This window comes from Homo sapiens, chromosome 16 (genome assembly GCF_000001405.40).
Source record: "Homo sapiens chromosome 16, GRCh38.p14 Primary Assembly".
Taxonomy (NCBI): Eukaryota; Metazoa; Chordata; class Mammalia; order Primates; family Hominidae; genus Homo; species Homo sapiens.
Window position 1 is genome coordinate 69,733,431 of NC_000016.10, and position 21,850 is coordinate 69,755,280.

A 21,850-nucleotide genomic window follows, 5' to 3' on the forward strand; every position below is an offset into this window, starting at 1 on the left:
CAAAGAAAAAGAAACTAGGCTATGTGTTTGAAGTTTTTAAATAAACATTTTATTTTTGAGTACTTCAAAATTTAGAGGAAAATTGCAAGGCTTACATTTTATATAATATTTACATAAATGTGAAATGTGGTACGTTTATCAAAATTATGAAATAAACTAAATATTTTAGGCTCACTGAGTCCTGATTCTCACATCTGTAGAAGGAGAATTGAGACTATTAGTTTTGTTTTTACTTTTAAATTTTAGTTATTGAAGTAATACGCAGATAAACTATCTTTTAAAAAATATTTTTGGCCAGGTGCAGTGGCTCACACCTGTAATCCCAGCACTTTGGGAGGCCGAGATGGGTGGATCATGAAGTCAGGAGTTCGAGACCGGCCTGGCCCAGATGGTGAAACCCCGTCTCTACTAAAAATACAAAAATTAGCTGGGCGTGGTGGCGCATGCCTGTTAGTCCCAGCTACTTGGGGAGGCTGAGGCAGGAGAATTGCTTGAACCTGGGAGGCGGAGGTTGCAATGAGCTGAGATCGTGCCATTGCACTCCAGCCTGGGCAACAAGAGCGAAACTCCGTCTAAAAAAAAAAATTTTTGTTGTAATATATATATTAATTTAATATAAAGTTTGTACAAAATTTTAAGAGTCACATAATTTCCAGGCTGGGTGCGGTGGCTCACCCCTGTAATCCCAGCACTTTGGGAGCCTGAGGTGGGCAGATCACGAGGTCATGAGATCAAGACCATCCTGGCTAACGTGGTGAAACCCCATCTCTACTAAAAATACAAAAAAATTAGCCGGGCGTGGTGGCGGGTGCCTGTAGTCCCAGCTACTTGGGAGGCTGAGGCAGGAGAATGGCGTGAACCTGGGAGGCGGAGCTTGCAGTGAGCCGAGACTGCGACACTGCACTCCAGCCTGGGCGACAGAGCAAGAGTCCCCCTCAAAAAAAAAAAAAAGAGTCCATAATTTCCTGAGCTTATGATAAACAGCATCCCCCACTCCAACCTTCCTGAATTGTCTCCTTCCCAACACTTTTTTTTTTTTTTTGAGACAGAGTCTCACTCAGTCACCCAGGCTGGAGTGCAGTGGTGCGATCTTGGGTTCAAGTGATTCTCCTGCCTCAGCCTCCCAAGAAGCTGGGATTACAGGTGCCCATCATCATGCCCAGCTAATTTTTGTAGTTTTAGTAGAGATGGAGTTTCATCATGTTGACCAGGATGGTCTCAAACTCCTGACCTCAAGTGATCTGCCCACCTTGGCCTCCCAAAGTGCTGGGATTACAGGGGTGAGCCACCACACCCAGCCCCAACACTCTTTTTAGTGGTGCCTTGGGGTATTTACCTCCACGTTTCTAAGTAATATGCTGGTTTTTATTTATCATTTTTAGACATTATTGATTCATATCTACTATGAAAGATGAGAATAAGCACTTTAACACTCCCCCTCACCTTCACCTTTTCTCCTTTTCTTCCCAATATGGCAATATCCAAATTTTTGGCTAAATCAATATTTAGGTTTTATTTATGCTATTGTAACAATGAGCCATGCAGTGAATTATAATTACATTTCCTTCTACAACCTTTTGTTTTCCTAGGGTTAATAATTGCCACTTTTTTTTCTTTTTCTTTTGAGATGGAGTCTCGCTGTGTCACCAGGCCGGAGTGCAGTTATGCTCTCTCAGCTCATTGCAACCTCTGCCTCCTGGGCTCAAGCATTTCTCCTACCTCAGTCTCCAGAGTAGCTGGGATTACAGGCGCATGCCACCACGCCGAGCTAATTTTTGTATTTTTAGTAGAGACAGGGTTTCACCATGTTGTCCGGGCTGGTCTTGAACTCCTGACCGCAAGTGATCTGCCCACCTTAGCCTCCCAAAGTGCTGGGATTACAGGCATGAGCCATTGCGCCTGGCCTTCCCATTAGTTTTCTATGCCACCAGCACTAATTGTTCCCAAACCATCTAAATTATAAAAAACAAATAAGCACACCGTGTACCCCAAGCTGGAGTGCAGTGATGTGATCCTAGCTCACTGCAGCCTGGAACTCCCACACTCAAGTAATACTGTCGCGTTAGCCTCCTGAGTAGCTGGGACTACAGGCACTCACCACCATGCCTGGCTGATTTTTAAATTTTTTTTTTTTTTTTTTTTGGTGGGGAGGGGACGGAATCCCACCCTGTCACCCAGGCTGGAGTGCAGTGGTACTATCTTGGCTCACTGCAACCTATGACTCCCGGGTTCAAGTGATTCTCCTGCCTCAGCCTCCTGAGTAGCTGTGATTACAGGCACATACCACCATGCCTGGCTAACTTTTTTGTATTTTTAGTAGAGACAGGGTTTCGCCATGTTGGCCAGGCTGGTCTGGAACTCCTGACCTCAGGTGATCAGCCTGCCTTGGCCTCCCAAAGTGCTGGGATTAAAGATGTAAGCCACCGCACCCAGCCTGATTTTTTTTTTTTTTTTTTTGAGACAGAGTTTTGTTCTTGTTGTCTAGGCTAGAGTGCAGTGGCACGATCTCGGCTCACTGCAACTTTCGCCTCCCGGGTTTAAGCGATTCTCCTGCCTCAGCCTCCCGAGTAGCTGGGATTACAGGTGCCACCACAACCAGCTAATTTTGTATTTGTAGTAGAGGTGGGGTTTCTCCATGTTGGTCAGGCTGGTCTCAAACTCCCGACCTCAGGTGATCCGCCCACCTTGGCCTCCCAAAGTGCTGGGATTACAAGTGTGAGCCACCACGCCCAGCCCCAGCCTGATTTAAAAAATTTTTTTTTGTAGAGAAGTTATCTCCCTATGTTGCTCAGGCTGGTCTCGAGCTACCGAGCTCAAACAATCTGCCCACTTCAGCCTCCCCACGTGCTGGGATTACAGGTATGCACCACTGTGCCTGGCCTACTTTTCATTTGGCCAAACTCATCAGGTTTCTTATCAGTTTTATTCTTCTAGAAAAAGTCTTCCTGGAAGCCTTCTCTCCCAATGCAGGCTCGTCATTCTCTAGGTTTGCCGCACTGCTGTCTTTCTGGGGTTCTTTTTGCCTTTCTTTTATATTGGATCTCATATTTCCTCTTTGGTTTACTCCTCCCCCACTTTTTCTTTTCTCTCTCTTTTTTTTTTTCTGGATTATATTCTCCAGTAGTTCCTAAGAAAGGATAAGTGAGGCCAGGTACAGTGGCTCATGCCTGTAATCCCAGCACATTGGGAGGCTAAGGCAGTTGGATCACTTGAGGTCAGGAGTTTGAAACCAGCCTGGCCAACATGGTGAAACCTGTCTCTACTAAAACTACAGAAATTATCTGGGTGTAGTGGTACATGCCTGTAATCCCAGCTACTCGGAAGGCTGAGGCAGGAGAATCGCTTGAACCCGGGAGGAGGAGGTTGCAGTGAGCCGAGATCGCGCCACTGTACTCCAGCCTGGGTGACAGAGCGAGACTGTCTCAAAAGAGAAAAGAAAAAAAGGATAAATGGAAATAAGTTTTCAGATACATTCTGTGCCTGTTTGGCTGTGTGTAGAATTCTAGGTTGAAAATTGTTGCCTCTTGGAATTTTGAAGGCATTGATCTATGTTCTCCAGTTTTCAGGGAGAATTTATCACTTGCTTCCTGACCATTTGGATGTGATCTGCTTTTTCTCTCCGTAAGCACCTGAGGTCTTTGTATTCCGTCTGTTCTAGCTTATCAATCTTCTCCTTTTTTTTTTGAGATGGAGTCTCTTTCTGTTGTTAAGGCTGGAGTACAGTGGTGCAATCTCAGCTCACTGCAGCCTCTGCCTCCTGGGTTGAAGTGATTCTCCTGCCTCAGCCTCCCAAGTAGCTGGGATTACAGGCATGTGCTACCACGCCCAGCTAATTTTTTGTATTTTTAGTTCAGATGGGGTTTTATCCTGTTGGCCAGGCTGGTCTGGAATTCCTGACCTCAAGTGATCCGTCCGCCTCAGCCTCCGAAACTGCTGGGATGACAAGCATGAGCCACCGCACCTGCTCCCTGCCCTGTTTTTTTTTTTTTTTTTTTTTTTTTTAAGACAGAGTCTCACTCTGTCGCCCACGTTGGAGCAGGCGAGGACCTCAGAGCTATAGGAAGCTTTGTTGTCTTCATTATCTAGAAATTAAAAGCCGGGAGTTGGAGAATTCTCAGGAGCCCTCTCCTTCTGATGAAAGAACACAAGCATCCTCATGAGCCACCTGCTAATGCATGGTGTCCACCTGGGTGGCTGCTTTTCTGCACAAGGAGAAGTCCCCAAAGACCCCTTCCTTTTCTCTGTGCTGCGGATGATGGACTTTGTATATTAGCTCAGAGCCATTGTTGAGCCTGTCTGGGGACCTGGGTTATCCTCAGTGGTTCCTGTGGATTCCAGCCAAGTATTTCTGGGGGAGAAAATGTTCTTGGTATTAGGGTAGAAGAGATTCTTCTACTAGAAACCCCATCCATCCCTTCCTGTCCTCCTACCCGCCACCACTATGGCTATTACACAGCACTCACACCATTGTGTTGGGCTTCCTGTGTTTTGGTGTGTCCTGCTCTAATTTAAGTTATGTATTGCCGGAATTAGGCCATCCTTTACTGGGCTTAGAACACTCTGATTAAACTGAAATTTCTGCCAGGCACAGTGACTCACTCCTGTAATCCCAGCACTTTGGGAGGCCGAGGCAGGTGGATCACCTGAGGTGAGGAGTTTAAGACCAGCCTGGCCAACATGGTAAAACCCCATCTTTACTAAAAATACAAATATTAGCCACATGTGGCGGTATGCGCCTGTAATCCCAGCTACTCGGGAGGCTGAGGCAGGAGAATCACTTGAACCTGGGAGATGGAGGTTGCAGTGAGCCGAGATTGTGCCACTGCACTCCAGCCTGGGTGACAGAGCAAGACTCCATCTCAAAAAAACAAAACAAAAACAACAACAAAATGCTCATTTCTCTCAAAAAGGACATTCATTTGTTCTGAAGAGACTTGATTCAAGGTAGCAAATTGAGTCGTGTTTTTTTTTGACGGAGGCTAGCTGGGATTACAGGCACATACCACCAGGCCCAGCTAATTTTTGTATTTTTAGTACAGACGGGATTTCAGTATGTTGGCCAGGCTGCTTTCGAACTCCTGACCTCAAGTTATCCACTGGCCTTGGCCTCCTAAAGTGCTGAGATTACAGGTGTGAGCCACCATGCCCGGCCTGGTTATTTGGTTATTCTTATTTTTATGTCTATGTATGTATGTTATGTTATGTATGTATGTATGTATGTATGTATGTATGTATGTAAGAGTCTCGCTGTGTTGCCCAGGCTAGAGTGCATTGGCACCATCTCGGCTCACTGCAACCTCCGCCTCCCAGGTTCAAGCAATTCTCCTGCCTCAGCCTCACGAGTAGCTGGGATTACAGGTGCCCACCACCACACCCAGCCAATTTTTGTATTTTTAGTAGAGACAGGGTTTCGCCATGTTGGCCAACCATGTAGCTAGGACTACAGGTGTGCGCCACCATGCCTGGCTTTTTTTTTGTATTTTTAGTAGAGATGGGGTTTCGCCATGTTGGCCAGGCTGGTCTCAAACTCCTGACCTCAAGTGATCCGCCCACCTTGGCCTCCCAAAGTGCTAGGATTACAGGTGTAAGCCACTGTGCCATGCCTTTTTTTTTTTTTTTTTTGTGACAGGCAGGGTCTTGCTCTGTCACCTAGGCTGGAGTTTGGTGGCAGGATCTCAGCTGCAACCCTCTCCTCCTCCCGAGCCCAAGTGATCCTCCTACCTCAGCCTCCCAGGTAGCTGGGACTACAGGCAGCACCATGTGCAACTAATTTGTTTCACTGATTTTTATTTGTTTGCAGGGTTTCACTATGTTGGCCAGGCTGGTATTGGACTCCTGAGCTAAAGTGATCTGCGGGCTTCAGCCTCTCAAAACGTTGGGATTACTGGTCTGGATCACTGCGTCCAGGCAGTAAGTTTTTCTTCTTTTGAGACACGGTCTCTCTCCGTCACCCAGGCTGGAGTGCAGTGGCATGATCTCAACTCATTGCAACCTCACCCTCTCGGGCTTAAGCAATCCTCCCACCTCAGCCTCCCAAGTAGCTGGGACTGTAGGTGTGTATCACCATACATGTTAATTTTTGTATATTTTTTAGAGATGGGGTCTCACTATGTTGCCCAAGCTGGTCTCAAGTTCCTGAACTTGAGCAATCCTCCCACTTTGGCCTCCCAAAGTGTTGGGATCATAGGCGTGAACCACAGCAACTGGCCCATCACTTTTTTTTTTTTTTTTTGAGACGGGAGTCTTGCTCTTGTTGCCCAGGCTGAAGTGCAATGGCACGATCTCAGCTCACCACAATCTCCGCCTCCCGGGTTCAAGCCATGCTCCTGCCTCAGCCTCCCAAGTAGCTAGGATTACAGGTGCCTGCCACCATGCCAGGCTAATTTTGTATTTTTAGCAGATACAGGGTTTCTCCATGTTGCTCAGGTTAATCTCGAACTCCCGACCTCAGGTGATCCGCCTGCCTTGGCCTCCCAAAGTGCTGGGATTACAGGAGTGAGCCACCATGCCTGGCTCTGGTCCAAGACTTTTTAAAATTACATGTGAGGCCCGGCATGGTAGCTCATGCCTGTAATCCCATCACTTTGTGAGGCCAAGGCAGGCAGATCACCTAAGGTCAGGTATTTGAGAACAGCCTGGCCAACACGGCAAAACCCCATCTCTACCAAATAAAATTTGATGGGCATGGTGGCGCACACCTATAGTCCCAGCCACTCCAGAGGCTGAGGCAGGAGAATTACTTGAACCTGGGAGGCGGAGGCTGCAGTGAGCCAAGATTGCACCACTGCACTCCAGCCTGGGTGACAGTCTCAAAAAGAAAAAAAAAATTACATATAGACTGTTGGCCAAATCCTGACCAGTCTTATTTAGTAGTCTTATGGCTACTAAATACAGAATGAAATGGGTGGGACTGAGGAGAAAGGGAAGGAATTCCAAGATGACGGTGAGAAACAGGGGTGCAATTAAGCTAAAAGCCTTACCCTCTTGTGTTCTCTGTAGACATTCTTTTGACCTAGGCTGTTCTCCATGTCCTGGGCTCAAGCGATCCTGCCTCGGCTTCTCAAAATGTTGGAGTTATAGGCATGAGTCACCGTGCTCGGCCTACTTTCTCTATGTCTGACAGAACAGAGTATGGGGAGAAATGGAAAGGGCACGTTGGAGTCACCCAGGCTGTAACCACTACTCACCTCTCCTCTGGTACCCTGTGCTCCAGGTGGTTGTCAATCCATCAATCCTCCCAAGAGCAGGAGTTTCACAAAGATGGGGACAGAAAGCGGGCAGTGTTCACCCTCCTTCCTACCATCTCCACTGGTACATTTGTGGCTTAAAAGCACAGATGGAGGCCGGGCGTGGTAGCTCACGCCTGTAATCCCAGCACTTTGGGAGGCCGAGGTGGGCGGATCACGAGGTTGGGAGATGGAGACCATCCTGGCTAACATGGTGAAACCCCGTCTCTGCTAAAAATACAAAAAATTAGCCAGGCGTGGTGGCGGGTGCCTGTAGTCCCAGCTACTTGGGAGGCTGAGGCAGGAGAATGGCATGAACCCAGGAAGCGGAGCTTGCAGTGAGCCGAGATCACGCCACTGCACTCCAGCCTGGGCGACAGAGCAAGACTCCGTCTCAAAAAAAAAAAAAAAAAAAAAAAAAAAAAAAGCACAGATGGGGCTGGGCGTGGTGGCTCACACCTGTAATCCCCGCACTTTGGGAGGCCAAGGTGGGTGGATCACCTGAGGTCAGGAGTTCAAGACCAGCCTGGGCAGCATGGTGAAAACCAGTCTCTATTTAAAAAAATAATAATAATACAGAAATTAGTTGGGCACAGCAGCACTTGCCTGTAATCCCAGCTACTCGGGAGGCTGAGGCAGAAGAATCTCTTGAGCCTGGGAGGCAGAGGTTGCAGTGAGCCGAGACTGAGCCATAGTACTCCAGCCTGGCGACAGAGCGAGACTGCCTCAAAAAAAAAAAAGTACAGATGGACTAAGCTGAAATCTTGGCCCAGCCACTCACATGCTGTGTCACTTACCTCTTGTAGCTCAGGACTGCTCGAAATAACAGCAGCCGTACCCTGTATTAACGTTCTATGGATTAAATGGGCTAATGTAGAGTAAGTACTTAACAGAGTTTGTTTCATAGCTCTTCGCAATGGAACATTAGGCAGCTGAAGAACGAACTGATACAGGGTGACTTCCAGTGCTGTCATGTTACATAATAGTAATGTACCAATGTGATATTTCTTGAATTTGCTAACTCTACCGTGGTTATGCAAAAGAATATCCTTTTCCTAGACGACTCATACTTTGTGACTGTGTGTGCAGAGAAACATGAGGCGGAACCGTGGGGAATCCAGGTGAAAGGCCATCAGGGAGCTCACCACGTTGCACTTTCCAGACGAATAGAAACTATTCTCAAAAAAAGAACAGGTTAAAAGAAAAGAAAGAAATGGTAGTTCTTAGTTTTATTATAACCTTGTATTTTCTGGCAAAAATATAAATCTAAATGCATGATCTCTGGGCACACAGCTCAAGTATCAGCCTTGAGATGACCTAAGCAGCAAAAATTTGGCCTATTTAATTAAATGCACAGGAGGTTGCAGCCGCATTTATTAGAAAAATATTATCCTTTGGAAATTCCTTTCTTGAAGATTGGCTCCAGGGCGTTGTTCTTTCTGTTTTTATGCAATTGCACTTCCTTGGCAGGCAGCCAGGCGCTCCGGTGCTCACAGGCCATGGGACAGTCCAGTTCCCTGCAGACCCAGCGGGGCATGGGCGGACAGAGCCGCACCGTGAAGCCCGCCTGTTATTTCCATCGGGTGGTCCTGGAGACGACACGGCTGGGGAAATGGGTCACCGGAACTCCACGGCGGCCAGACGCCCATCCAATTTGCCTGCGGGAACTCGCTCTTCACCTTTTCTTCACAAACTTCTTTCTGGAAGCGTTGGGATTTAAGCGTCTCCGCCCAGCTCCCAAGGTGCTGTCCCGGACCTGCAGGGTAGCTGAGCGGCTGGAGATGTCATTCTCGACAAAGGGTGACACCCCGGCGATGTAGTCAGGGGCGAACACGTTGGTTTTCTGCCTGGCCTTTTGGGAGAGTCGCAGCTGAGGGAAGCGCTGATCCTCGGTGAGATGGGGGTTGATGGCGTATTTGCCCCCTTTGGGAGTGGGAAGCGAGTACTGGAAATAAGACAAGGAAGGGCCATTAGAAGAAGGGGAGCCACAGTCACACAAGGCCATGGCTGGTAAGGTGCAGCCGACCTTGCAGATCCTGGTGCAGGCAGATGACAGCGGGTGGTAATTGACTGCCTACCATGTGCTACGTGTGACATGCCGCCGCCTCCCACCTGATTCCCACCTCAATTCACACACGAAAAACCGAACACGGTATTTTGACTACATACCTTCAGCTAAAGACAATACAGAAATAGAAATACAAAACATTCCAGTGTGTATTTACACACACATGTATGTATTTCCTAGCTCTGTCCATTGTAGCCAAGACGCAATGACACTGCAGGACAACAGACACACCCAGTCCCCAGATCTTTACTTCTAAAAACCATCCTGCATAAAAAACCAGAGCTCCTGAGAGAAATGGCGGATTCTGGGGCACAGGCAGGAGATGGCTGAGTCTCTGGGAACTTCTTGTTGTGCCATAAAGTTTGACAGACCAGGATCTGTCAAAAGAACACAGGCTCCCACTGGCCACACATGGCACAACGCGAGGCTCAAAATGACAGTGATAGATCACAACCTGTAGACTATGACAGAAATCCACAAGACCACACTCATAGAAATCAATAAATGAGACTAAAAGGAAAGTTCTTCTTTACAGTATAATACCAGGTCATAAACATGGAAGGAATGACAGAAAATCACCATTTGGCAATAATCACTATAATAACTGTTTCAGGCAACTTTAGGTAAGTTCAACGAGAAATAATATATACAAAGTCTCAGTCTCTTTCTACAAATTAAGTATTATAAATAACTTTACAGGGGATTAAGGTGGCAGAAGCCACTGAACCAAGTGATTGAAGTTAGTATCACCAGTAAATTAGACAATTAGCATTTACCCACTGAAACGAAGTCCTGAGAAGGACACATCAGGATCACCTCTGGCGTGTTCCTGCCAAAACTGCATAGCCCCAATCTAATCCAATCCCGAGGAAATACCAGACACACGCAAGGGAAAGGACATTCTACAAAGGAACGGACTCATACTCTTCAAAAGTGTCAAGGTCATCTACGACAAAAGACTGAAAGGACCCCAGTCGAAAAAAGACAAGATGACAAAATGCAACGTTTCATCCTAGACTGGATTCTGGACCCAAAAAATCCCCTTCTTTTGTCAGAAAGGAAATTTGTGGAACAACTGGCAAAATCTGGAGTTGGGTCTGCAGATTACACACTGGTATCGCAGCGATGCTGATTTCTTGATTTTGATAATTACACTGTGGTTACATAAGATAAAGTCCTTGTTTCAAGGCAAAAGGGCATTATGTGTACAATCTACTCAGATGGTTCAGGAAAAAAATATGTACATGTATAAAGAGAAAGCAGACGTGGTACATGATTAACCCTGGGAAATCCAGGTGACGGGTAAACAGGAATTATTAGCCGGGTGCAGTGGCTCACGCCTGTAATCCCAGCACTTTGGGAGGCTGAGGTGGGCGAATCACCTGAGGTCAGGAGTTTGAGAACATCCTGGCCAACATGGCAAAACCCCATCTCTACTAAAGATAAATTAGCCAAGCATGGTGGCGTGTGCCTGTAGTCCCAGCTACTTGGGAGGCTGAGGCAGGAGAATCGCTTGAACCCCAGAGGTGGAGTTTCAGTGAGCCAAGATCACGCCACTGCATTCCAGCCTGGGTGACAGAGTGAGACCCTGTCTCAAACAACAAGAAAAACCCCAGGAATTGTTTGTACTGTTTTTACAACTTTTCTATAAGTTGAAAATTATTTCAAAATTGAAAGTGAAGGTTCTTCTCATGCACATGTGGCTATTTTACTGCTGGGAGAAGCCAGTGCCACTCATTCGTCCTCCAATCCTTCCCTCCCGATTCTCTGCGTCGGCAGCTGCTGCTCATCTAGCCCGTCCGGCCCTCTCTTCCGTGCTGTGCTTTCCACACCCGTTCCTCTCTGCGTCATGGGCTTCCCGAGACCCTGCCCATCCTTCAACTCCTGCACAAATCTAACCTCCGCCTTACTCCAAATGAGTTCCCACTTCGTGAGCCGCTACTGTAGCCTTTCACAACTACTGCCTGAATAACCGGTCGCTTCTCATGAGATGGCATCTGTCACACACTCTCCCCACTCCGTCTTGGTACCTAGGTCACAGGCTTTCAATCGCCCATCTTGCAGAAACGACTAGACTAGGTTTTCTTTTGTCCTTTCTGTTCTTTTTCACTCTGGTGTTGGGAGGGGACTGGGAGAGGCGCCACTCACCCGGAGGCCGCGGGGGTTCAGCACCTTGGGGTTGCGGGAGAAGTGCATGTGCAGGGTGCCGTCGTCGCTGACGGTCACGGACACTTTCTTCAGGGTCTTGTTCCCACAGTGTGAGCAGAACACTCGGCTCATGTCAGACGTTGTCCTGGGAGACACAAAAGGAGATGATCTGTACCAAAGCCACAGGCAGCAAACGCCTCCCCAGAGCACAAGGTGGGTCTCGGGCCTCAGGAGAAGAAACAGGGAAGGGCTGAACCGCACCACACATGTCACAAAGACGGAGGCCACTGAAGCTGTCAGCAAAGGGCTGCCGCATCCCTCTGAGGGACAGATAAACCACAGGAGGGGCAGGTAAGGAAGTGTGCAAGCGAGCAGGATGCAGTTAGGTGAATCCCGAACCCTTCCTACACACCGCCAGGCCCTGTTCTGTAGGGTTCACATCACTAGTCCTGGGAGGATGGCACCGTCTCCATTTTACAGATGGGGAAACTGAGGCAAGTTAAGGCAGCTTGCTCAAGGTCACCCAGCTGGTCCATGGCAGATAAACCCAGGCAGTCTGGCTCCAGAATCAATGCCCTTCACATCACGGCACTTTCTCGAGGGGCACCTCGTCACACCACGAGCTACCTTTTCTCCAAATGTCAGCCTGGGTGTTAACTCGGGAGCAGCTCTGGAGGCGGCAGAGCATATTAATGAGAGAGACAGGAAACATGCTGCTGTGGCTGAACTAAGCCCGGGCACTGAGTGCAGAACCAAGGCTTCCCCCACCTATGCACTCAAGCCCCGACAGTGGACTCTCGACAGGAGAAAGCTGCTGCTATCAGCGGCAAAGCAGTGGCCCTGGTCCCTGTCCTTGTGGAGTTCTCCATCAATTCCCAATGGTCAAGACAAAAGAGCTGCGTGGAATGGCTGGAGAAGCCAAATGCCTTACCTGAAGTCTCTTGTGAGTGAACTAAGCACCTCATAACAAGTGTTGGGACCTAATTATTTTGTACATCAAACTGTGCAGTCACGGGGCTAATCTGACAAGCATGAAGAACATTCCAAGTGTTTCTAAGAATTGAGTGTTAATCTGGTGAATTTAGTGCTTCTGTAACAAAGGACGTTGGAGAAAATGGAATTTTATGAAGCCAGGAGCTTTACTATCATGAGCCTGACGCAGCAAAGGGACGTAAAGCTTCAGAGGAAGGTATGGGCCGCTCTGAGGAGTGGCTGGCCACCAGCAGAGCCACAGTGGCTGGCGGGGCGGGGCCCCAAGCCTGAGTGCTGGGTTATGCTCAGGACTTCAGGGAATGAGGCTTCACACAGGCAACGCCCCGCCCACTGGAAGAGCTGGGGACCCAGAGAGGCACCTTTGATGATTCAGAAAGTTCCTCATCGGCCTCTACAACAAGGGGCACCACCAGATGATCTACGTGATGCCCCCAGACCCAGCCTGAGCCTGCAGAATGGCAGATGCCACCCTAGAGTAGGTCCTCAGGCCACACTCCACCAGCAAGGCTGCGGCAGAGGCTCTTCCACGCCTACCAGGCGGTTTCCAAGGTCCCAGAGGCCTCCCTACAGAACACCAGCCTGACCCACCACAGGAACCAACTCAAGAGTCAGAAAAGCAATGAGAGGTCAGTGGTCAAGAAACTAACAGTTCACCCGATAGGCACGCTGCTTATGTATTGGATACCACAGAGTCCTTGACACAACTGTCTTCCTAGTTCCTCACAACCACCTTCTCAATCTTATTAAGCATCTCATAGGGCCGGGTGTGGTGGCTCATGCCTGCAATCGCAGCTCTTTGGGAGGCCGAGGCAGGCAGATCACTTGAGCTCAGGCATTTGAGATCAGCCTAGCCAACACAGTGAAACCCTGTCACTACTAAAAATACAAAAAGTTAGCCAGATGTGGTGGCGGGTGCCTGTAGTCCCAGCTACTCAGGAGGCTGGGACAGGAGAATTGCTTGAACCCGGGAGGCAGAGATTGCAGTGAGCCTAGACTGTGCCACTGCTCTCCAGGCAACAGAGAGACTCTGTCTCAGAAAAAAACAAAAAACCCCAAAAACCAAAAACAAGAATCTGGGCCAGGCGCGGTGGCTCATGCCTGTAATCTCAGCACTTTGGGAGGCTGAGTTCGGCGGATCAGAGGTCAGGAGATCAACACTATCCTGGCTAACACGGTGAAACCCCGTCTCTACTAAAAATACAAAAAATTAGCCAGGTGTGGTGGTGGGTGCCTGTAGTCCCAGCTACTCGGAGGCTGAGGCAGGAGAATCGCTTGAACCCGGGAGGCGAAGGTTGCAGTGAGTCGTGATCGTGCCACTGCACTCCAGCCTGGGCAACAAGAGAGAAACCCTGTCTCCAAAAAAAAAAAAAAAAAAAAAGATAAAAAGAATCTGATAGGCAGATGGCTCAGGCCTGTAATCGCACCACTTTAGGAGGACAAGATAAGAGGATTGCTTGAGGCCAGGAGTTAAAGACCAGCCTGGGCAACATCGTGAGACCTCGTCTCAAAGAAAAGAATCTGAAGCACAAAGAAGTGAATCAGCTTTTGCAAAATCACAGCAGCAGCAGGACACAGAATCTGGATTTGAACCCATGTACTCTTCTTTTTGTAAACAGAAAATCTCTCAAGTATAAAGCAGACAAAACACAACAAACCTCCATGTATCCATCACCCCCCAGCTTCAAAAACTATCAATTCATGGCCAGTCTTATTTTATCTTCACCCCCACCCACTCCTTCTACTTGTGGATTTTGTCAAAGCAAATCCCAGACATTCCAAGGACAAACATTTCGGTATGTACCGCTAAAGAATGAGGCTCACTGTTCCAGAACCCATGTCCCTAACCCCATGCCACTGAGATACGGTGGGAGGTCACTGGCAACCTCTGTCCCCAAGTTCTCAGTGCCCAGGTGGAGACGGAACCCAGGCCCCAGAGGAATGATGAGGTGGAAGAAACACACATAATGTAGGGTTCTCTTTAAACAAGTCTGTAGAAGAAACAGGAATAGTGGCCAGGCGTGGTGGCTCACACCTGTAACCCCAGCTCTTTGGGAGGCTGAGGTGGATGGATCACTTGGAGTCAGGAGTTCGAGACCAGCCTGACCAACATGGTGAAACCCCGCCTCTACTAAAAACATACAGAAATTAAATTAGTCGGGTGCAGTGGTATGTGCCTCTAGTTCCAGCTACTTGGGAGGTTGAGGCAGGAGAATTGCTTGAACCCAGGAGGCAGAGGTTGCAGTGAGCTGAGATTGTACCACTGCACTCCAGCCTAGGTGACAGAGCGAGACTGTTTCTCAAAACAAAAAAAGAAACAGGAAGAGTGTTCCACAGAGGGCACCAGGGCCAGGGCACCAGCTACATACTTGAAACAGCCATGGCAGCGCAAGATGTAGCTCCGGGCCTCACGAATCAGCATGCCGTTCACCGCCAGCACGTGCAGCCCCATCTGCAGCAGAACATTCTACAACCACAAGTTAAAGAAGAAATCAATTTTCTTTTCACATTTCATTTTGTAATTACAGTTAAGGGAACTTCACAAACCCTGCCTTGCCCATATTCCTTGGCTTTTGCGAAGGAAACTCAGCCTGGGGAGGCCTCTCAAGATGTGTAAACGAGGACGAAGGCCCAGGTGTCTTTCTAACACCGTCCTGGAGCCTGTGTTCGTCATTTTCCATGACCTGTCATTAGCAAGCTCTCTCAACAGACATTTTATTTTGTCTGGGCCAAATATACTCATTGCTGGGCTGAAAACCCTCTCTCCCTGTGTTAAGAACCTGACTGACCACATGGCATTATATATACTGAAAAAAAAATCATAAAAAAATCATAAATAGTAAACGTTAAACATTTAATGTACTATACAAATGTTGTCATTATATGACGATTGTCTAGCCTCTAAGCAAAATTAAAAATCACCAAATGGCACAGGTGGTTTCCAGAACCAGGAAAAGAAGCGCTGCACAGCACCAGTTCCGTGTACATCTGTACACCTCGGTAGGACCACTGCCGATGACGTGTGTGACACACGGCCCAGGCCCACCCTACCCACCTGCATGGCGAAGTCTGTGGTCAGGCAGCCAACCCGCACGTCCTCGGGGACGTCACACTGCTCCAGCTCCTGCTGGATCTGCTTGATGTTACTGGGGGTTATCCAGCCACCCCCGTCGTCATCGCTGTCATCTTTTCTGTCTTCAAACCCGTTTTCTTCCTCCTCCTCCTCCTCACTTGGAACGTCCTCACCTCTGTCAATCTGAAACATCAACAGACCTTTCAAACTCCCAACCCACAGGAGCAGTGGAGGAGAAGTTGAGCTGTCGTCAGAAGACCAAAAGTCAAGGCCTCACCAGCAGCTCCTGCAGTTCATGATCGATGTTGGGCAAAGGGTTTCTCCAGAACATGAAGGAACTAAATTCCAGGTTCTCAGGCTCACAAGCTGAGTGTCCTTTTTCTGTTTCTTGTGGGGGTTTAGGCTGAAATTAAAAGAAACAATTTTAAAACCTGAAAATTCATCTGTAGCCACCTCTCAGGTCACAGATGAAATCACATATGATATACAAGTCAGATCAGACAGGGCTGGACAAACTATGTTATTGGTCCGCGTAAATTTAGTTCACTGTGAAGAGATGACTTAGAGAGATGTGACATGTTTCAGAAAAGAGCATGAACGGCCTGGCTTGTCTAAGAAATTACCTTGTAGGGCAGATGGAAACCAGAAATGTGCAGAGGTGTTTCTGGGTGCTGAATCGATGAGCTCACCTTAACCTTTAAAAAAACAAAAAACATATACCTCTTGTTATCAAAATTAAAGATATCCAGTTTTTTTTTTTGGCCGGGCACGATGGCTCATGCCTGTAATCCCAGCACTTTAGGAGGCCGAGGTGGGCGGATCACCCAAGGTCAGGAATTGGAGACCAGCCTGGCCAACGTGGCGAAACCCTGTCTCTACTAAAAATACAAAAATTAGCCTGGCGTGGTGGCAGGCACCTGTAATCCCAGCTACTCAGGAGGCTGAAGCAGGAGAATTCCTTGAAACCGGGAGGCGGAGGTTGCAGTGGGCTGAGATCACGCCACTGCACTCCAGCCTGGGGAACAAAAATGAGACTCTGTCTCAAAAAAAAAAAAGGATACCCAATTTTTTTTTTTTTTTTGAGATAGGGTCTTGCTCTGTCACCCAGGCCGGAGGGGAGTGGCACAACCTTGGCTCACTGCAACCTAACCTCCGACTCCCAGGTTCAAGCGATTCTCATGCTTCAGCCTCCCAAGTAGCTGGGATTACAGGTGTGCGCCACCATGCCCCACTGATTTTTGTATTTTTTAGTAGAGATGGGGTTTCGCCATGTTGGCCAGGCTGGTCTCAAACTCCCAGCCTCAAGTGATCTGCCCATCTCAGCCTCCCAAAGCGCTGGGATTACACACAGGAGCCACCGAGCCTGGCTGACATCCAGTGTTTTAAAAAAATCAGAGAATAAAAATAAAAAAATAGCTGGGTGCAGTGGCTCACTAACTCCCAGCCCTTAGGAAGGCTGAGGTAGGAGGATTGTTTTGGGCCAGGATTTTGAGACCAGCCTGGACAAAAGTGACACCCTGTCTCTATAAAAAAATTTTAAAATTAGCCAGGCATGGTGGTGTACACCTACAGTCCCAGCTACTCGGGAGGCTGAGGTAGGAGGACTGCTTGTGCTCAGGAGTTTGATGCTGCAGTGAGCTGTGATCAGCGCCACTGTACTCCAGCCCAGGTGATGACAGGATCCTGTCTTATTAAAATACAAACAAACAAACAAACAAAAAACAAGTGTGGTAGTTCATGCCTGTAATCTCAGCATTCTGGGAGGCCAAGGTGGGAGGATGGCTTGAGCCCAGGAGTTTGAGACCAGCCTGGGCAACACAGAGAGACCCCATCTTTCTTAAAAAAATTTGAGGGTAGTTTCAACTAGTGCAAAAATATGAGTCCACCATAGTTTTGATGACTTTAGGCAGAGAAGATTAAGCAATTATTTGTCAACACTATTGAAAATGAATTATTATTAGGTTAAAATTTTTGACTTCTAAAATCCTCTGGCTTAGAAATAGACAATGGGTGCAGGCACAAATGTATCAGTCTCTTCAACCTAGCCACAGTGGGTAAGACCCTAAAAACACAATAGGAAGTCAAAGTTTTGAAGGAAGCAAGGTTCGAAAAAACACTTGCAAGTACTTAGTGTTCATTCTTTTTTACCTCCAGAAAGCTCTCTTTTTTTCAGACAGGGTCTCACTGTCACTCAGGCTGAAGTGCAGTGGTATGATCACAACTCACTGCAACCTCAATCTCCTGGGCCCAAGTGATCCTCCTGCCTCAGACGGGGTTGCCCAGGCTGGTCTCAAATGCCTAGGTTCAAGTAATGCTCCTGCCTTGGCCTCCCAAAGCCCTGGGATTATAGGCATAAGCCACGGCACCTGGCCAGAAATAGTTCTTTTTTTTAAAAAAATTATTATATACAGATATATAGATTTTTATTCTTTTGCATTTTCCAAATTTAAACCTTTCCCAAAAACCTACAGATCAAAAGAGACTAATCAGGAGGCTGAGGTGGGAGGATCACTTGAGCCCAGGAGTTCTAAGACCAGCCTGGGCAACACAGCTAGACCCTGGATGAAAGAGGGAAAAAAAAAAGGGACTGAGACACACTTGCCAATTGCAATGTATGAACCTCATTGGGATCCTGATCCAAACAAACAAACGCTTTAACATTTACAAAATAACTGGGGAATGTGAATGTTGACTGGATATTTGATAACAGGCATTACTATTAATTTTGTGTAGGTGTAATGATGGCTTTAAAGTTTTTAAGAGTCTTGATCTTTAGAGACATACCAAGAAATATCTATCAGTGAAATAGTATACGATGTCTGAGTTTAAAATACTCAGGGCTGAGGCCGGGCGCACTGGCTCACGCCTATAATCCCAGCACTTTGGGAGGCCGAGGCGGGCGCATCACCTGAAGTCAGGAGTTCGAGACCAGCCTGACCAACATGGCGAAACCCCGTCTCTACTAAAAATACAAAAATTAGCCGGGTGTGGTCGTGGGCGCCTGTAATCCTACCAACTACTCTCGAGACTGAGGCAAGAGAATCGCTTGAACCCAGGAGGCGGAGGCTGCAGTGAGCCGAGATCACGCCGTTGCACTCCAGCCTGGGCGACAGAGCAAGACTCTATCTCAAAAAAAAAAAAGTACTCAGGGCTGTGGATCAGTGTAGATGAATACAGACTAGCTAAGAGATAATTGGAGGGGGGGATGATGGGAACCCTGGGTCCATTACACTAGTCCTTCTACTTTTGTATACCTGACAGTTCCCATAATACAAAGCTTTTAAAAACCCATCCTCTTGATTTACCTTCTGTGGTTCTTGTTTTAGGTGAGACACCCCAACAAACTCTGCTTCCAACTGGTATGTGAGTGCAAGCACTTGGATGTCCGTGGCAGAGAGGCTGGGGTAGTCTCCTGTTTTCTTTGAAAACTCAGTCACTGTAAACAACAGATTTACATCTTCAGTTAGAGGTAAAAAGCCATATGACCTTGGATAACCAATGGAAGTATCAAAACAATTTAGAACAGATCAAAATAATGGAAGTATCAAAACAATTTAGAAAGGATCACTATGTCATGAAAAACCTTAACACTTTCATCCATTTTCTGACCTTTTCCTACTCGCAGTTGAGAAATTTGTATTCTCCACCACCAAGATTCATGCCAGTTAGATTTACTGTAACACCCTTATCAAATACAGAGGAAGGAGCAGAAAGTTGGCTGGGGCCAGGCGTGGTGGCTCACGCCTGTAATCCCAACACTTTGGGAGGCAGAGGTGGGCGGATCACTTGAGGTCAGGAGACCAGCCTGGCCAACGTGGTGAAACCTGTCTCTAATAAATATACAAAAATTATCCCGGTGTGGTAGCGGGGGGGCCTGTAATCCCAGCTACTCAGGAGGCGGAGGCAGGAGAATTGTTTGAACCTGGGAGGCGGAGGTTGCAGTGAGTCAAGATTGCGCCACTGCACTCCAGCCTGGGCGACAGAGTGAGACTCCTTCTCAAAAAAAAGAAGAAAGTTGGGGCGTGGTGGCTCACACCTCACTACAGGAGGCTGAGGTGGGTAGATCACTTGAGGTCAGGAGTTCCAGACCAGCCTGGCCAACATGGTGAAACCCCTTGTCTCCTAAAAATACAAAAGTTAGCCAGGTGTGGTGGCGTGTGCCTGTAGTCCCAGCTACTGGGGAGGCTGAGGCAGAAGAATTGCTGGAACCCAGGAGGTGGAGGCTGCAGTGAGCCAAGATCGTGCCACTGCACTCCAGGCTAGGCAACACAGCCAGACTCCATCTCAAAAAAAAAAAAGTTTCAGATTTAGGAGCATTCTGGATTTCAGATTCAGTATGCTCAACTTGTAATTGTAGTAGTCTATGAGGAAACAAAAAGCATGTGCTTAATGCATAATACATGTCAGACTGCTGTTATTCTCCAGAGTCATCCATAATAAACACTTAAAATTTCCTGAAATTAACAGAAAGATGTCTCCTGCTACCCTGGTACAAGGAACACTAGGTATATTGCTCTTATTTCCTAAAAAACAGACATTAGCAGCAACGAAAATTTACTGTGCACTTACTGTGTACTAGGCACTGCATTAAAAGCTTTATGTGTTAATGCATTTCATCCTTTGCCATTCTTCAAAAGTACTATTAGTATTTCCTCGGAAAGATTTAGTAAGTTGGCAAAGATCACAGAGCTACTAAGTTGGTGGAGAAAATCGTAGAAATCACAAACAGAGGAGGTAACATCATCTCCACTATCAGCCTCTAACCTCTAAAACACTTCCAACCACTGAGGGGCCTTTCCTGGGTATCACCTTGATTCCCAACAAGAGAACAACGCTGACTCCTAAGCCAAGAGACAATTCTTTAATTTTCTTTATTTCTTATTTTTTTTGAGACAGAGTCTCGCTCTGTCGCCCAGGCTGGAGTGCAGTGGTACGATCTCGGCTCACTGCAACCTCCACCTCCAGGTTCAAGCAATTCTCCTGCCTCAGCCTCCCAAGTAGCTGGGATTACAGGAGCACACCACCACGCCCAGCTAATTTTGTATTTTTAGTAGAGGCAGGGTTTCACCATGTTGGTCAGGCTGGTCTCAAACTCCTGACCTCAGGTGATGCGCCCGCCTCGGTCTCCCAGTGCTGGGATTACAGGCCGTAAGCCACCGCGCCCAGCTTAATTTTCTTTCACATTTAATACAATGCAAAGCATTCCCTTTTTAAAGCTCTGCCAGGTGCAGATCTTTGTATCCAGTCATCAGCCCAATCTACTGAAAAGAAATGGACGAGAGTAATAGCAAGAGATCCAAACTCTTATTTTAAATCCAAATAAATTTATTGCTTGTCTGCAAAGTGCTTGACACTGAGCTGACTGCCATATTCCTCAGTTCATGCTCACAGCAACCTTGGAGACAGATACAATTATTATTCCCATTTTGCGGATGAGGTAAACGAGGCCCAAATTTGAATGCTATGCCCGAGAGCATACAGCTAGTTACTGGAGGACTCCAGACCCAGGAAGCCTCTCTCCTACCACAATCTCCTAGAAAGTGCTGGCTCTAAATCTACTGCTCTGATAAGGCAGCTAGACCCCAACTCGCACCCAACTGGGTGCCATCTGCGCCCTGGACCCCAGCTTCCCGTCAACGCTAGGGCAGAGGCACTCACCCAGCCGCACGTATTCCGGTAAGGGCTCCTTGAACCGCAGCTCGTAGGGCAGGACAGCGAGCCGCCTGCGTGTGGCCTTGTCCCGAATCTCAGTGACCACCTCCCGGATGGTGTAAATGTTCTTCCCGATGTCCTGCGGACAGAACGCCCCAGCTCAGACCCACCCGCACCAAGCAACGCTCCGCGCGACTCCACGCACTCCGGGAGGGGCGGCCAGCCCAGATCTCTCTCGTCCCGGAGGGAGCTCCCCGTACCTGCAGAGCCGCATGCCGCAGGAAAGCCCCAGCATCCGCCACAACGTGCTCCACTGGAGCCATGTTGGCTGCGTGAGAGGGGAGCGCGCATGCGCACGGAGCTTGCGCCGGCTCCTATGTCCAAGTCTGGGCCTCTGGGAACCAGGAAGAGCAGCCGCGACTTAGCTGCGCCTCCTGGCGGCCGCGCCAGCACCTCCCTGCTCTACTCGCGCGCATGCGCAGCGACGCCGCCCGCATAGCCAGAGAAGTGTGGGCGGGGTCAAACCTTGGGGGACACCTGGGAAATCGGCTTCAGCATCTAGACCTTAGTGCCTTCTTCACCTTTGAAGATAAAACCTGCCAGGTGTAGTGGTGCGCGCCTAGAGTCCCAGCTATTAAGGAGGCTGAGGCGAAAGGATTGCCTGAGCCCTGGAATGTGAAACCAGCCTGGGCA

At 48.0% G+C, this 21,850-nt stretch overlaps 1 protein-coding gene and 1 long non-coding RNA gene across 3 annotated transcripts in view, besides 2 other annotated features; one reads left to right on the top strand and one right to left on the bottom strand.

Annotated features, from left to right (window-relative positions):
• NQO1-DT (NQO1 divergent transcript) overlaps window positions 1-10,488 on the top strand; it is a 17,192-nt gene extending 6,704 nt beyond the window's left edge. Inside the window, exon 2 of the long non-coding RNA NR_186363.1 lies at window positions 8,705-10,488. This is a non-coding gene — a long non-coding RNA (NQO1 divergent transcript). The remainder of the gene's footprint in view (window positions 1-8,704) is intronic.
• On the bottom strand, window positions 8,441-21,496 carry NOB1 (NIN1 (RPN12) binding protein 1 homolog). Of its 2 annotated transcripts, NM_014062.3 has the most exons (9): window positions 21,418-21,496; window positions 21,164-21,296; window positions 18,811-18,941; window positions 16,129-16,200; window positions 15,783-15,908; window positions 15,488-15,688; window positions 14,802-14,899; window positions 11,443-11,587; window positions 8,441-9,171 (listed from the first exon to the last, which is right to left on the bottom strand). In NM_014062.3, the coding sequence occupies exons 1-9, from the start codon at window positions 21,478-21,480 to the stop codon at window positions 8,902-8,904; spliced, it is 1,239 nt and encodes a 412-aa protein (NP_054781.1). In that variant the 5' UTR covers window positions 21,481-21,496; the 3' UTR covers window positions 8,441-8,901. The 2 variants fall into 2 exon arrangements, 1 of the variants encoding a protein (NP_054781.1); NR_074074.2 differs by lacking the exon at window positions 18,811-18,941.
• Window positions 20,542-21,165: an enhancer, noted in NCBI's record as "H3K27ac hESC enhancer chr16:69787875-69788498 (GRCh37/hg19 assembly coordinates)". NCBI's record gives its function as "activates a minimal SCP1, AML or CMV promoter by ChIP-STARR-seq in primed H9 embryonic stem cells {active_cell/tissue: H9 hESC(primed)}" and the evidence as "EXISTENCE:reporter gene assay evidence [ECO:0000049][PMID:30033119]".
• Window positions 21,166-21,788: an enhancer, noted in NCBI's record as "H3K27ac hESC enhancer chr16:69788499-69789121 (GRCh37/hg19 assembly coordinates)". NCBI's record gives its function as "activates a minimal SCP1, AML or CMV promoter by ChIP-STARR-seq in primed H9 embryonic stem cells {active_cell/tissue: H9 hESC(primed)}" and the evidence as "EXISTENCE:reporter gene assay evidence [ECO:0000049][PMID:30033119]".